The 16405-nt window shown below is 35.6% G+C and overlaps 1 protein-coding gene across 16 annotated transcripts in view; it reads right to left on the bottom strand.

The window, feature by feature from the left end:
- CCSER2 (coiled-coil serine rich protein 2) overlaps window positions 1-16405 on the bottom strand; it is a 189929-nt gene that overhangs the window by 108714 nt on the left and 64810 nt on the right. Inside the window, exon 1 of one of the 16 annotated variants that reach the window (XM_006717894.2) lies at window positions 15862-15942. The exons of 13 other annotated variants lie outside the window; for them this stretch is intronic. The gene's annotated coding sequence lies outside the window, so the exon portion shown is untranslated. Of the gene's footprint in view, window positions 1-15861; window positions 15943-16405 lie in introns of those variants that run through there. 2 more of the 16 variants (XM_006717895.2, XM_011539873.1) reach the window with 2 other exon arrangements.

The following is a 16405-nucleotide window of genomic DNA, read 5'->3' as shown; positions in this document are numbered from 1 at the left end:
ACCTGCATGTCCTGTACATGTACCCATAAACTTAAATAAAAGTCGAAGAAAAATAAACTGATAAATGTTGACATTACAGTCATGGTACGGAAACATCATCAAAATCAAGACAACAAACATATACATTAACTCCAAAATGTTCCTTATGCTTCTTCACAAATGTTTTCCATTTGAACATAGTTCTGTGTTAAAGAACTAGAAGTTAACTGGTTTAAGAAAAAAAAAAAGAGAGCAATCAAGCAGTTATCTAAAACAGCATGTACAGAATTAACCATTTTATGAAAATAAAAACACTATAATATACATAGAAAATACTTGGAAAGAAACCAAAATACAGATTAACTTTTAGAAATATGAGATTTCTGGATGGGCAAAGTGGCTAATGCCTGTATTCTCAGCACTTTGGGAGGCTGAGGCAGGAGGATCGCTTGAGCCAAGGAGTTTGAGACCAGCCTGGGCAACATAAGGAGATCCCATCTCTACAAAAAAAAAATTTTTTTAAATAAATAAATAGGCCAGGCGCGGTGGCTCATGCCTATAATCCCAGCACTTTGAGAGGCCACGGCGGGCAGATCACCTGAGGTCAGGAATTCAAGACCACCCTGGCCAACATGGTGAAACTCCGTCTTTATTAAAAATACAAAAATTAGCCAGGCGTTGTGGCAGGCACCTGTAATTCCAGCTACTCAGGAGGCTGAGGCAGGAGAATCTCTTGAACCCGGGAGGTGGAGGTTGCAGTGAGCCGAGATCGCACTACTGCACTCCAGCCCAGGCAACAGAGAGAGAGACTGTCTCAAAAAATATAAATAAATAAACATAATAAAATAAAATAGAAGAAATGAGATTTTTATTTTTTTGATTTACAGTACCTATGTTTTCTCATTTATCACAATAAGCATTATAAGTAATTTCATTCCCCCCAAAATCATATCCTCTCAAGAAACATTTGGCTGTTTGTGTATGTGTGTCTGAGTATGTGTGAAACAAGACAGTGTTGGGTACCCTGGGCCAGATCTGACAATTAAGGCCACGGCAAAGAATCCAAAGCAATATAGTGTTGTGCTCTAAGTCCAGAGCAGGGCCTGCTGAGCAGCACTGAATCAGTGAAAGGAGAACTGTCACCACTGTTAAAAAGATGCCAAACTTTTAATAACCAACTAAATGCTACATTTTATGTGATTTTCTGTACCTTTCATTTTATAATGAATGGTTAAAAAATACAGCCTCAAAGAATGGGAGTGAGCCTACTCTAATGAATGTAAAGGTGACAGAATAATTATATCACTCTATGAAGTTACTAAAAAAGCCCAGTCGAAAAGGAAAGGGGAAGAGGAACACGGAAGGAAAGAAGGAAGGAAGGAAGAGAGGCAAAAAATGGAGGGAGAGAGAGGAAAAAAAGAAAATCAAACATATATAAATAAATCCTTATTTATGATGTTTCAAACATTCCTCTCATTAGATAAAGATCCACTCTGTAAAATGGGGGAGAAGAAAATAAGCAGATTACATATGCACAATATGACTACAATTTTAATGCTGAAAAATACATTCAAATATCTGGCAGGTGATAAACTGAAGGACAAGTATAATCTTCCAATATGTGACAACGTAATCACATACTTATGTTTTTAATTTTTTTTTTTACTTTTCTGTAATAATAAATTTTTCCTTTATGTAAAAAGGACATAGGGCTTTTATAATAAGTAAAACTTCATGTTGGATTAAGTCCTGGCACCCCTGGGAAGTTCAAATCACACAAAACCAGCCTGCCATGTGGGAACCTTCAACCCAGCCCATTCACTAACCATGACAAATATCAGTGCCACCCGCCCCTCCCCTCCATGCAAACCATTGTGAACCAGTGTGGGTGACTGCCCTGTTCTCCCCAGAAAGTCTCATTTTGTGAGTTAAGTCTTTTCAAATACTTTTGGTACATGTGTGGTACCATCAGTCTTGGCAGCCAGCCAATTTGGGGGGCTAGGCATTGATCCAGAATAACATTCTCAATAATTTACAAATAACACTACTAATATATGCAAAGCACTAACCTGGGTACAGGATATGCCCAGGTAAACAAAACTAAAGAGTTTTAAAAAGTGACAAATTGAGATTTGCACTAGAGAAGTATTATTCTGGCTGCAGTGCAGAGAATGGATTTAAGTGAGACAGAAAAACCAGTTTTGTTGCTATTGCAGAATCCATGTGGCATATGTCAGTGGCCTGATACTAATCAGTGTCAGTGAGAACAAAGAATAAGCAGTAATGAAACACACTGAGGAGTTAGACTCTACAGGACGAAAGTTAACTGAGAAGTAAGCAAGAAGCCATGGATGACTCCTTAGCTCCTGGCTTGAGAAACAAATGTATGATGCTTATTAACTAAAATATAGCATAAAAAAGGAAGGCCAACCTAAATAAAGCTGGAAAAGATTAAACAAGTAAATAAAACAAATGATGGAAGCAAAACAAAAAAAGGAAAGTCAACCTCAATAAAGCTGGAAAAGATTAAATAAATAAAACAATAATGGAAGCAAAACCAAAAAGGAAGGCCAAATCTGGTAGAATGTAAAAGAATACATAGTTTTGAAGCCCAATTATTTTGATGTGCATGCTGCATCTTTGAGAAGACAAATTCAAAGGACAACTGAATATAGGGGTCTAGGTTAAGCAAAGAGATTTAAATTGTGGGAGTCATTACCAAATAGATGACAACCAGAAGATGTTGAACAGTAAGTCTGACAAAACACCGTAGAGTAAGATTACTGAATTCTAACATCTGCTTTAGGCAATTCTTCCCTTGTCCATCTTTTGGGGAGGTCTATGTTTAACATCAGATTTTGAGAAGAGTGACATCACAGATATCATTAGAATTAGAGTAAGGGTTCAGGTAATAGGAGAAAAAAAAATTAACTTACTCTAACTTTTCTTCACCAGCTTAGAAATCATCTGCACAGGGTAGAAACTGCATTTTTACAGGAAAAGAGGAAACCACGCAGTGCGGAAATTGGTTAATGTGGGAAAGAGTTTCTATTCCCTGTTTGTTGTGGCAGCCTCTTTCTCTAACTGGCAGTCCTGCACTTATTGGGAGCCAACATCCATATAGACCTGTTTTCCTTAGTAGACCATTAAAATGCAATCATTACTTGGGAGTATGACAATGAAAACCCAAATATGTATATTCTCTGGCTTCCAGAGGCTTCCCGTAAGACTGACTGGAATTAAAACTCTGAGCACATATGAGCAGGTTTACCATAGAACTTCCTTGGACTTTGAGAACACATTTCTATTCAAATAGAGTGAACTGTGAGACGGTGGGTCAGTGCTTCCTTCACACATATCTCCTCCACTACAAATGTTTCTGACAAATGAATGACACCATCATTAGTTTAATTACACTGTAAAATTAATTTTGGGGGGTATAGTTTATAAATTTTAAAGCACAAATAGATGTGTAAACACCTACGCAATTAGGATGCAGAACAGTTTCTTCACCCTCGAAGAAGTCCCTCACACTATCCAGTTATAGTTACACCCTCCTCCCATCCATACCTTCTGTCAAACACTGATCTGTTCTCCATCACCATAGTTTTGTCTTTCAAGAATATCATATAAATGGAATCATACAGCATGTAACATTTTGAGAATGACTTCATTCACTCGGCATAATGCCTTTAAGGTTCATTGGTTTCTTTTTACTGCTGAGTACTATTCCACTGCGAATGTACAGTTTGTGTACCAGTTTACTAATGAAGGATATTTCGATTCTTTCTAGTTTTTAACTACTATACATGAAGTTATTATAAGCATGCATGTACAACTTTTTGTGTGAATATAAGCTCTCATTTTTCTATGGTAAATACCCAGGAGTAGGACTGCTAGATGATACAGTGAGTGTATGTTTACTTCTCAAGAAACTGCTAGGTCATTTCCCAGAGTTGCTGTAACATTCCACATATCAATCAGCAATGAATGAGACTTCTAGTTGCTCCGCATCCTCAACAGCCCTTAGTTACTGTCAGTAATCTTTATTTTAGCTCTTCTAATAGGTGTGCAGTGGTGTCTCAGCATGGCCTGAATTTGCTAATGATGTTGAACACACTTTTACATGTTTATGTGCCACTCTTACATCCTTTTTGATAAAGTGTCTATTCAGGTCTCTTATACATTTTTTTATTTGGGTTGTCTACTTACTTATTGCTGACTTTTAAGAGTTCTTTATACATTCTGGATAAAAGTCTTTTGACAGATATGTGAGTCACAAATATTTTCTCCTAGTCTGTAATTTAACTTTTTATTGTTTCTTGACAGTATCTTTGGTATAACAAAGGTTTTTAATTTAATGTAATCCAGTTAATTTTTTATGGATCATGCTTTTGGCATAATTTCTAATAACTTTTCACCTAATCTCCAGGTCATAGTATTTTAAAATGTTTTCTTACAGTTTTACACTTCACAATTACACCAAAGATCGATTTTGGAATAATTTCTGAATAAGATGTAAAATTTTAGTCAAAGTTCAATTTTTGTTTTTTAATATATGAACGATCAAATGGTTCCAACAACATTTGTTGAAAGATTTCTCCACTGAGTTTCTTTTACATCTTTGTCAAAGATCCACAGGCCATCTTTATGTGGTTCCATTTCTTTTCTGGAGCCTCTATTACGTTCCATTGATTTACCTGACTGTCCCTTTGTCAATGTTACAGTGTCCTGATTGCTGTAGCTTTAAAATGGGTTAGTACAATTCCTCCAGCTTTGTTCTGCTTTTTCCAACAAAACATATTGGTACTCCTGCTGGGATTCTGATTGGTATTGCATCACTTTGGGATGGAGTGATGTCTTCACTACACTGAGTCTTCCAATTCATGAACACCACATTACTTTATGTATTTATGTAGGTCATATTTTTATTTAGATCTTCTGTAATTTCTTTCATAAGATCCCTATACTCTTCAGTATAGACTTTGTTAGATTTATACCTAAGTGTTTTGGTAGATCTTATAAACAACATTGTTATATTTACTCAAGTTTATAACTAGTCATTGATGATACAGAGAAACAAGAATTGTGTGCATTGATTTTGTATCTTGCAACATTGCTAAACTCACTTATTAGTTATAGGAATCTTGTTTTTTTTAAGTCAAACTTTTAAAAATTGACTTTTGAGGACAATGATCCAATTGGAACAGAACACACATTTAGTAGTTCACTAGCTAATCGGACAAACATGCTCGACTGTGGTGGCCCACCAGGTTTGTCCTAAACAAGCACTAATTTCATTTAGTGTGAAACAAAATCAAGCAGCTTGAGCTCCATATCCCGTTTGTACCAGTGGCATATGCTTGCTTCCTGTCCACTCACTTTTAAGTATTTGCATGACTAATCCTGTCCAATATTAAACAACACTTAAAATCAAGAAAATGGGAGCAATAGGTCAAAGGACTAAGAAGACTCCTTAAACAACTTTGTTAGTAAGCTGAGAATACTCCAACCTGCTTCCCCATCAACAAAAGGAACTGGAGGGGTAAGTTTGTTTCGAAGGGGTTGGCATAGTGAAATTACAGTCATTTGATACTGAGGATCAAGGCATGGAGCCCCCTGTGTATCCTGTGGATTTCAGGGGAGTTTAATGAAATCAGAACAGAGGTGGCTCCTTGTGTGCCACAGGATGTGACCCTTTGGCATCTGGCTACAGAGCAACCTGGGTAATGAATGTTAAATTTAAAGCTAGTCTTACTCCCTTGTGATCTGGACCAGAAAATCAAGATGGCAACCCTATTTTCAAAGATTGTTGGTTTAGAAATGAATTCAAGGTGTATTCCCTCTCTAAATCTGTAACTTTTGAATTATTTTCCATAATCTGAACAAAGACAAACTCTGTCTCTCATTTGTTATCTTCTAGAGCACAAAGAGGCTTTTTCCAGCCCAATTTATTTAGCTTGGAGCATTTGTATATATTTTTTCCAGCTGAACCATTTTAATTTCCATCAGAAATATAAGAAATGTTGTTTCTCGGCATTTTCACTAGCATTTGGTTTTATCACAATTTTTTATATTGGTTATTCTATAGGTGTATAGAATGTGATTTTAATTTGCAATTTCCTAAGGGTTAATTATGATGAATGTCTTTCCATGTCCTTATTTCCCATCCATATCTCCTCTTTGGTGAAATGTCAAAGTCTCTTACTCCTTTTCTAATTAAATTGCTGATATTTTGTATTGTTCAACTTCAGAGTTTGTTAGATATTTTGGACACGAGAACTTTGTCAGATATATGGTTTGCAAAGTTCTTCTCCCACGCTGTAGCTTGTTTTCATCCTCTTAATAGAGTTTTTTGCAATGCAAACATTTTTTCTTTTAATGAGGTTCAATTTGTCAATTTCTTTCTTATGGATTATGTTTTTAATATCAAAGAACTCTTTGCTTAGCCCTAGTTCCTAACGATTTTCTTCTATATTTCTTTTAAAGTTTCATAGTTCACATTTTATATGATCGATGATCCATTCTGAATTAATTTTAATAGGTGGTGAGAGGTTTAGGTTGAGATTTATTTTGTTTTACTTTGTTTTACCTATGGATATCCAATTGTTTCAGTACTATTTGTTAAACTGCCTCTAACCTTTTTCAAAAATCACTTGGGCATATTTGTGTAGGTCTACTTCAGGGTTCTCTATTCCGTTCCATTGATCTATGTGTCTATGCTTCTGCCAATACCACGCTCTCTTGATGACTGTAACTATTAAGTCTTTACATCAGGTAGAGTAATTCTTGCCACTTTATTCTTATTTTTCAAAATTGTGTAAGCTACTCTAGTTCCCTTGCTTTTTTATATAAATTTTAGAACAAGCCTGTCTATATCTACAAAAAAGTATTTCCAGGGTTTTGATGAAAAAATTGCATTAAGTCTTTATAAATTTAGGAAGAAGTGACATCTTAAATATGTTGAGTCTTCCACGTAGAGAATGTCATCTGAAAATAAAAATCCCTTTTCTTTCTTTCTCTTGGCTTATAACACTGGCTGAACTTCATTAACTACATTGAATAAGAGTGGTGAGAATGGACATATTTGTCTTGTTCTCGAATTTAGGAGAAAAGCATTTAATCTTTCTTCATTAAGTATTAACATAATGTTAGCTGTAGGTTTTTTGAAGATGTCAAGTTATTTTCTATTAGTTTGCAAAGGTCATTAATTGATGTTATATTTTGCTAAATGAAATGTCTTTTCTCCAACAATTGTTAGGATTTGTTTTCCCATAAGACTGTTAACATGATAGATTATACTGATCGATTTTCAACCTTGCATTCCTAGGATAAGCCCATTTGGCAAATAGTGTTTGGTTTTTGTTTTGTTTCATTGTTTTACATGTTGGTTTCAATTTGCTGACATTATATTTTTGTTTTGTTTTGTTTTTACATGTTAGTTTCAATATGCTGACATTATATTAAGACTTTTAAGACTATCTTTATTTTGAATAAAACTCTTCAAGTTTCTCTGTCAACACAGGCTGGGAGCTACTGTCACCAGCAGCCACCAGAGGCCCAGACAAAAGAGTGCTCATACGGTATTCACTTGCATGGATCGCTTCAGGGCAGGCATTGCAGTTATGGGTCAGATTGTGGACATGGCTTCAATGAAACACACACAATGCGAAAATTTAAGAGTTTTTAAGTACTTACAGAACTTGAAGCATACAGGGAATGCCTTGAGGCCACATGCGGAGCACAAGCAGGTAGAGAGAAAAAGAGTTTGGCAACTAGTACTATTGGGAAATAGGGTGTGGTCACTTTAAGTTCATTAGCAAATAAGTGAATGGTCCATTTAATGCAAGCTGTGGGAAAGAGAACGCTGTCTGCTAGGCAGGAGTCATGCCTCTCAATTCTTACCTCTGGCCACCAGCTTGTCATTTGGGTGTAGTATAGAACTGGAAACTGTGTCAAGGGTGACTATGGCCTGCCTCTGCCTCTGGCACTAGAAAGTTAAACCTGCATTTGAAATGGCTGCTGAAGCCACATAAAATTACAAGCATGCACTACGATGTTAATGAGGGATATTGGACTGCAGTTTCCTTTTCATATAATTTATTTGTCTGGTTTTAGTGTGAGGTTATTGCTGGATTTGTAAAATAAATTGGGGATCTCTTTCCATTTTCTTCTACTTTCAGGAAAAGTCTATGTAGAATTACTGTTATTTCTTCATTAATTGTTTGGTAAAATTGGCCAGTGAAACCATGTGGACAAGATCTTTTTTGGAATTTTTTTTTCCACAGAGTAAATTCTTTAATGGTTATAGGGCTATTCAAATTATCTATTTCAACTTGGGTGAAGTTTAGTAGTTTGTGCTTTTAAGGAATTGGTCCACTCAAGTAGTAAAAATTTATGTGCTTAATTTCTCATAGTTTTCTCTCATTATCTTTTTAATGTCTGTGGAGTTTGTAGCGGTATCTTTTTCCTTCAACCCTGTAATCTTTGTTTCACTATGCCTTTGTCAGTCTTGCTAAATGTTTATCAATTTTATTGATCTTTTCAAAGACCACCTTTCAATTTCGTTGCTTTTTCTCAATTACTTTTGGGCTTTTAATTCCATTAATCTCTGTTTTCCTGATTATTTCCTTCCTTCTACTTGATTTGGAATTAATTTGATTTTTTACTAGTTTCTTAAGGTACAAGCTTTGATTACTGATTTGAGACCCTTCTTCTTTTCTAATGCAAGTATTCATCACTATAAATTTCCTTCTAAGCACTGCTTTAGTTACATTCTACAAATTTTGATAAAATATATTTTCATTCTCATTCAGTTCAAGCGATCTGCCTGCCTCAGCCTCCCAAAGTACTAAGATTACAGGTGTGAGACATGGCACCCGGCTACAGATGGCATTTATTTATTTATTTAGAGATGGAGTTTCGCTTTTGTTGCCCAAGTGGAGTGCAGTGGCACGATCTCCACTCATTGCAACTGCCACCTCCCTGGTTCAAGCAATTCTCCTGCTTCAGCCTCCCAAGTAGCTTGAATTACAGGTGCCCGCCACCACACCAGGCTAATTTTTGTATTTTTAGTAGAGATGAGGATTCGTCATGTTGGCCAGGCTGGTCTCAAACTCCTGACCTCAGGTGATCCACCCGCCTCAGCCTCCCAAAGTGCTGGGATTACAGGCATGCACCACTGTGCCTGGTCTCAGATGGCACTTTTAAAATGGTGAAAGAAAAAAACTGTCAACCAATGGCAAAAGAATGAAGTCAGATCATTACCTCACACCATATACAAAAACATAAAATGGATCAATGGCCTCAATATAAGAACTAAAACCATAAAACTCTCAGGAAAAAAACAAAAGAGGCTGGGTGCGGTGGCTCACATCTGTATTTCTAGCACTTCGGGAGGCCAAGGCAGGCAGACTGCTTGAGTCCAGGAGTTCAAGACCAGCCTGGGCAACATAGCAAAACCCCGACTTTTTTAAAAAACAAAACGAAACAAAAACATAAGGATAAGTCTTTGTGACTTTTACTTTGGACTGGTAATGAATTCTTTGATACGACATTAAGAGCATAAACAATGACAACAAAAATAGATAAACTGGACTTCATAAAAATTAAAAACTTGTATATCAAAGGACATTATCAAGAAGCCTACAGAATGGGAGAAAATATTTGCAATTCACACATTTGATAAGAATCTGGTATCAAGAAAATATAAACAACTCTTACAACTCAACAACAAAAACACAAACAGCCCAGTTAAATGGGCAAAAGACTTGAAAAAACATTTCTCTAAAGATATACAAATAGACAATAAACACACAAAAAAGTTCAACCTCATTTGAGACTAAGCGAATCAAAACCACAATAAAATACCACTTAACGCCCAGTAAGATGGTTACTTAAAGAAAGAAAGAAAGAAAAAAAGACAGAAAATAACAAGTGAATATATTTGAAATTTCCATAAAGGGTTAAGTGATTGCCTGGTTTAAAAATAAACTCTATGAAATCTCTCAAAAAAAAAAAAAAGGCCAAAAAAGGTAAAAGAACAAAGGTTTAAAAAATAAATGAAAACAAAGAGAAAATGAAAAAGAGGCTCAACAGAGATATAACAGCCAATTATTAGAAGTTCTAGAAAAGGGGCACAGAAACAATGGAGGGGATATAATAATTAAATATGAACATTTTCCAGATTTAAAAGAATAATGGAACAAATTCTCCAGGAAGGTTTAAAAAAATGCCATTATCTTATTTAAAATTACTAGCTGGTAGGTACCCAAAACATATTTAGTGAAAATAAATAAATCCAGACTAACACTCATCCCGACTTCTAATCCAGTGTTCCTATCTCCGACTCTTATTGTGACACCCAAAAATTCCTACTCCGAGAGATTTCAGGTAAACTGTTTCTGGAAGTGTGGGAAATACACATACACCATGGAATATTACTCAGCCATAAAAAAGAATGAGATCATGTCTTTCACAGTAACATGGAACTAGAGGGTATTATTATAAGTGAAATAACTCAGAAACAGAAAGTCACATACCACATGCTCTCACTTATAAGTGGGAGCTAAACAATGGGTACAGCTGGACATACAGAGTGGAATAACAGACACTGGAAACTACAAAAGGTAGGAGGATGGGAAGGAGGTGAGGGCTTAGAATTTACCAATAGGTACAATGATCATTATTCAGGTGATGGGTATGCTAAAAGCCTAGATTTCACCACTACACAATATACACATGTGAAAAATCTGCATCTGTATTCCCAAAATATATAAAAATTAAATTTAAAAAATCTTTCTGGAAAATAGGCTCAGGCCATGACTCTAACTCTCTGTAAAACTCAAATGGCCAGATGTGGTAAGAGTGAACAACTTTAAACAAGCTTACAAAACATCACCAGAATACAGGCACTGTACAGAAGAAACTTCCTTAAAATATACTGGTTCCCAGACCAAGAAAACAGAACAAGGCTCTGTGAATATGTCTACATAAATTCTTCACAAAGAATACCCTATGAAACAAAATTATTACTTTAAAAAAAAAAGTCTGTTCATCATTGTATTCCCTGTGAATTATTAACCAAAGAGGGTAGACTTCAGCTATAGCTCAATTCTTTACAAATTTCTCTTCTGCTCTCAAGAAATGATCTTAGATTTTTCTCTATCCTTCCCTGGAACAAACCTACCTTAACACCCAGGAACTTTAAAAATAAACAGGAATAAATTCAAAATCTGAGAAATAAAGAGGAAGAAATGAGTAGGAAAGCATGTAGCTCCTTTCAAAAGGCACAAACAAATATTGTTTCATTTTGGCGTGTCTCCATGCTAAAATTATGGCTTCTCAAAATATTTTAAGAATTCTACTACAATAAAAACAGGAGTTTCAGAGAAATGAAATAATTTTCCTGATAAGCAGAATAATCCCTGTAAATATGATAGCTTACATAGCAAAGAGGGAATTATGGTTGCCAGTCAGCTGACCTTAAAATAGAGGTATTATCCTGGATTATCTGAGGGGGCCCAATGTATAATAATCACTCAGAATGGAAGAGGGAGGCAGAAGACAGACAGAAGGAGAATGGTCAAAGAGGTGCGGTGTTGCTCGGTTTGAAGACAGAGGAAGGAAGTCATGAACCAAAGGCAGTTTTTAGAAGGTGGAAAAGACAGGGAAATGGATTCTTCCCTCGAGTCTCCAGGAAGGCACCTAGCCCTGCTGACATCTTGATTTTAGCCTGCAGAGACATGTGTCTGACTTGTAAGCTAGAGAGGATAGTAAGATAACAAACAGTGTGTTGTTTTAAGCCATTGTATTTGTGGTAATTTGTCACAGCAGCCAGAGAAAACGAATACACCCTGTTTCTCAAATGCTATAATTAGGCTTATTTGTTTCTACTGTTTTAGAGTCAATCCTATACTTACTGCATTCACTTTCTATAATTTAAATATTTGTTCCTTCCTTTCTGTGATGCCTTACAAAGGCTGAAACAGAAATAGGCCACTACAGAAGCACATTAGCACCTGAAAAAGGAGAAGAGTCAGGTGTGACTGGTGGGACTTCTAATGGTTGCAGTAATGTAATATGTTGTAGACCTCAGCAGTAAGCTCAAATCAAGTTTTGCTTGACTGGACTTTACTTAAGCCTTTTAAAATTTACTTTTTTACTTCAGCCTTCACAGGCTTCAGATGAGTAATTTCAGCTATACTGATTATAACAGTCGGTGGCAGACTTCAGTTAACATATATATTTAATAAATCAAAATGCCAAGTGCATTAGTGGTATGTGTAGTCTTTTTGTTAGATGAGAGAAAATGAATGTATTGAGTGACCTCAATTCCTTTAGCAGTCAGAATTTCCTTATTTTAGGTTCAATTTTCTGTCCTCAAACCAGTCAAGTTACAGTGCATCCATCAGTGCCCATTTAACCTGAGGACAGCCCCATCACATTTTTGTATATTACATCAAATGAAGTTTCAGTAACATTTTTTAAAAGCTTTTCTTTTTGTTCTGTTTTACTGCAGAATTTCATATCTTAAGGACATTATACTTTGGGGGAGGTGGTAATAAAAATATCATAGGATGATTTTATGAGTAGATTATGGTAATACCAGAGATTTATTAATCAATGCACTTAAGATTTACCAGTAAGCTTTAGGTAAGAGTAGAAAGTCACTGGAATGTTCTAGGAAAATAGAATACCATGCATAGCAACTTTCATATAGTAATACTGACTAGCACTTTTATATGCAGAAGTTTCTACACAACTGAATAGGAGCTGGTATGGACACAAGTAAGGTGGTAGATGTGTTTTTTTATCTAAATTACAAAAATAATACTGCTCTATACTAGCATAGTCATTACGGCAGTTTATAACTGTAAAATATTGGAAACAATCTTGATGCCCATTGTTGGGAGAGTAATTGAATAAACAATGCACAATCTACAAAATAAGTAGTATACAGCGGTACAAAAAGAATAAGGATGATCTCGGCCAGGTGTGGTGGCTCACGCCTGTAATCCCGACACTTTGGAAGGCCAAGACGGGTCGATCACTTAAGCCCAGGAGTTCAAGACCAGCCTTGGCAACATGGTGAAACCCCATCTCTACCAAAAATACAAAAATTAGCCAGTCTCATAACCCAGTCTCAAAATAAACAAACAAATACATACATAGGTTAAAATTTAAAAATAAAATATTTTTTTAAAAAGAAGAAAAGGGAAGATCTCTATGAAGTAACATGAAATAAATGAGTACTTTAAATAAACCACGATGTGGGCAGAACCCAAAACGAAATACAAACAGCAACAAATGAACCTAAAAGTATTACAAATGAATAATACAATCACGCTGAAAGGATTGAGAACTAAAACAACTAACGTAAGTAAACTTGGAAAACAGTACTTATTGTATTCTGTAAGGTTAAGGTTTAAAAAAAAAATGCTAAACAAATATTGTAAGTTAGTAAATCTTTTTCATAGGGTGTAAGTTAGCAATTCTGAAACTGTGTGTATATAATATAGTATAAATATAGTATAGTTATGGTATATAATATACTATATATACTATATCTATAACTATGTATGAATATATACTATAATCCTTATACACACACACACACACACACACACACACACACACAGTGTTGAATAACTAAGAAAATATATTGTGGTTGAGAAACCAAGTTTCTCACTTTCTGAGAAAAGGCTTAAAAATAAGAAGAAAGGCTAGAACAAATTCTGTGGCATTTGATTGGAGTCAAAGGTATCCGTGTGAGCTCTTGGTCTTTAATATATACGGAAATGGATACAGAAATAAATATAGAAGAGAAGTGTGTGTGTATACATATAATTGTCAGTTCTGTCTGCCACAATAACTAAAAGTAATTACACCTCAGTAGCAACGAACACACCTAGGCCCCAGATCTTGGTTTCTAAATCTCATTCTCCAATAAAAATCTTCCTTGGAGACATAATGACTCAAGGGCTAGGGCAGGGAAAATACAAGATAAGCCTGGAATATTTTGTGGTCATATGAGACACTACTTATTCAGCTACGGCTGAAATCTGGGTTTCCCAATGGTTGGTCTAATGTTATCATGCTATTTTCTCCTTCACCATGTACTAAAAGGTAGAAAGAGGTTCCACAGACCAACTTTCCTATCTGTGTCTCCATGCAACCCAACTTAAGCTACCAAGCTGGCAGCTTCTGCTAATACAGGTTGCCTGACTCCCAGGACCAGGAAAGGGATAAAAGATTGCGGAAGTACCACACAAATGCCACTAGAAGTTGAAGAGCCTGAAAGCAATACTTATAATCACCACGGGACAATAAAACCAAATAACCTAAATTGAAAAATATTTAATTACTTATTCAGGCCAGAATAGCAACTTCAACAACTCCTAAAATTCATTCAATTAGTGAAAGACTCTTAGCTTCAGTGTCCTCATTAACTATAACAATTTTATAATAGCTACTTGATCCAAATTGCAGAATTCAATATTTTCTCCAAAAATATTACCCATTATACATCTACTCTATGCCAGGTACTATGCTAGGTAAAAGGAACATATTACACTCTGTTCTTTTTTTTTTTTTTTTTTTAAGACAGGGTCTCACTCTGTCACCCAGGCTGGAGTGCAGTGGCGCAATCATGGCTCATTGCAGCCTCAACCTCCTGGACTCAAGTGATCGTCCCACCTCAGCTTCCCAAGTAGCTGGAACCACAGGCATATGCCACCATGCCTGGCTAATTTTTTAGTGTTTTGTACAGATGGGGTCTTGTTACATTGCTCAGTCTGGTCTCAAATTCCTGGGCTCAAGCAATCCTACCACCTCAGCCTCACAAAGTGCTGGAATTACAGGCATGATCCACCGCACCCCGCCTACTCTGTTTATTAACAAATTACTTTTAAGTTCACTGACTTTTTCTCTGCAACACAGGCTTTGATCAAGAAGGAGTTTAGGTAATCCAGTAACTTCATTTTTATGAGAAAAAATGTTCAGAAAAAAAGTACTCTGTTCATGGTCTCATACATAGGTGGGGTGTATGAAGATCTGATACAGAAATATTTATAATATTTAATGTTATATCTTATTTTAAAAATCTGATTTATAAATATAATTTGTCCTTTCAGTTTGAGATACTGAATTTTTCTTCCTTTCCACCATCTTATTTCCCTGGGGTCATTTCTAACTACCCTCTACCCCATACCCTATACTCAGCAATGCTGATGTTCCTCTCACACATCATGATTTTGTGATATACTCATGCTGTACATGCTGTTCCGTATGCTAAAATGCTCACCATCTAATTTCCTTGGCCAACTGGTAAAACTTGCATTCATTCTTCAACACTCAACTCACAAGTTAACTTCCTCTTCAAAAGCTTCTGAATGACCCAACACACACACACACACACACACACACACACACACACACATACTTTCCTTTTGTTATTTCAAGAGCATATGCATACTAATCATTTATAAATTCATACTACGATCATGTGTTTATAATTTATCTGCCTATCAAACAAGATTTTGAACTAATTAAGGACAAGGACAGCCTTATCCACCTCAGTGTCCTCAGAAATTAAGAGTATGCCTGGAGCATAGTAGAAGCTCAAGAATTATTGAACTGAACTTCATATTGTAACATAATCTATAAGAAACATTAATGCTGAATGAAGAAAAATATAATTATGTTTAAAGAATCACAACAACTACATTTCATACATTTAAACTTTTCTTCACACCTAAAAGTTATATTAATAGGACAAAAAGATCTATACTGATAATTAAATGTACATGGAAGATTCACTACTGGAGTTGGAGTAGCTCCCTTCTATTCGTTCAAATTTTGTAACTCAATGTCAAAGCATACCTGAAAGTATCAATATCAGTTTGAGATTTCTATTTACCTACATTAGGACCATCTCAACTTTCTATAAGCTGTCCCTCCACTACCACATCTATGCTAGCATCACATTTTTAGTTACTTGCAGCTTGCTATTATGACACGTGATACCTTAGAAACTTACTTTGTAAATAGGTTATGTCATAATGTGTATACAAAACTAAGTGAAAAGTATTAAACAGTACCTTTAATTTTTTAAAGGTTAACAAGGATTTATTCACAGGAATACATGTAAGTAGAGAAAAATAACAGAAAAGCTAAACAAATGAAATGAAGAGGATCCAAACCAACTTTCACTCTGTAGCTTTTCACTTGCAACCTATGTGCATACATCTACGGCACAGAGGGCCACCAACATGCACCAAAATACAGCGTAGGAACCCTGCATTACACCCATTAACTTAAACATATCTTTAAGATCATGCTTTGAACAAAAAAAAAGAAAGCTTAGAAGGCAGTATGTTGAGTGGGGATAAAACACTGAAATACAGCAATCATTTTTCAACTTCTA

Source organism: Homo sapiens, chromosome 10, assembly GCF_000001405.40.
Source record: "Homo sapiens chromosome 10, GRCh38.p14 Primary Assembly".
In the NCBI taxonomy this organism is placed as follows: domain Eukaryota; kingdom Metazoa; phylum Chordata; class Mammalia; order Primates; family Hominidae; genus Homo; species Homo sapiens.
The sequence above is the reverse complement of the archived record's forward strand: the minus strand, read 5'-3'. Positions and strand labels throughout refer to the sequence as shown.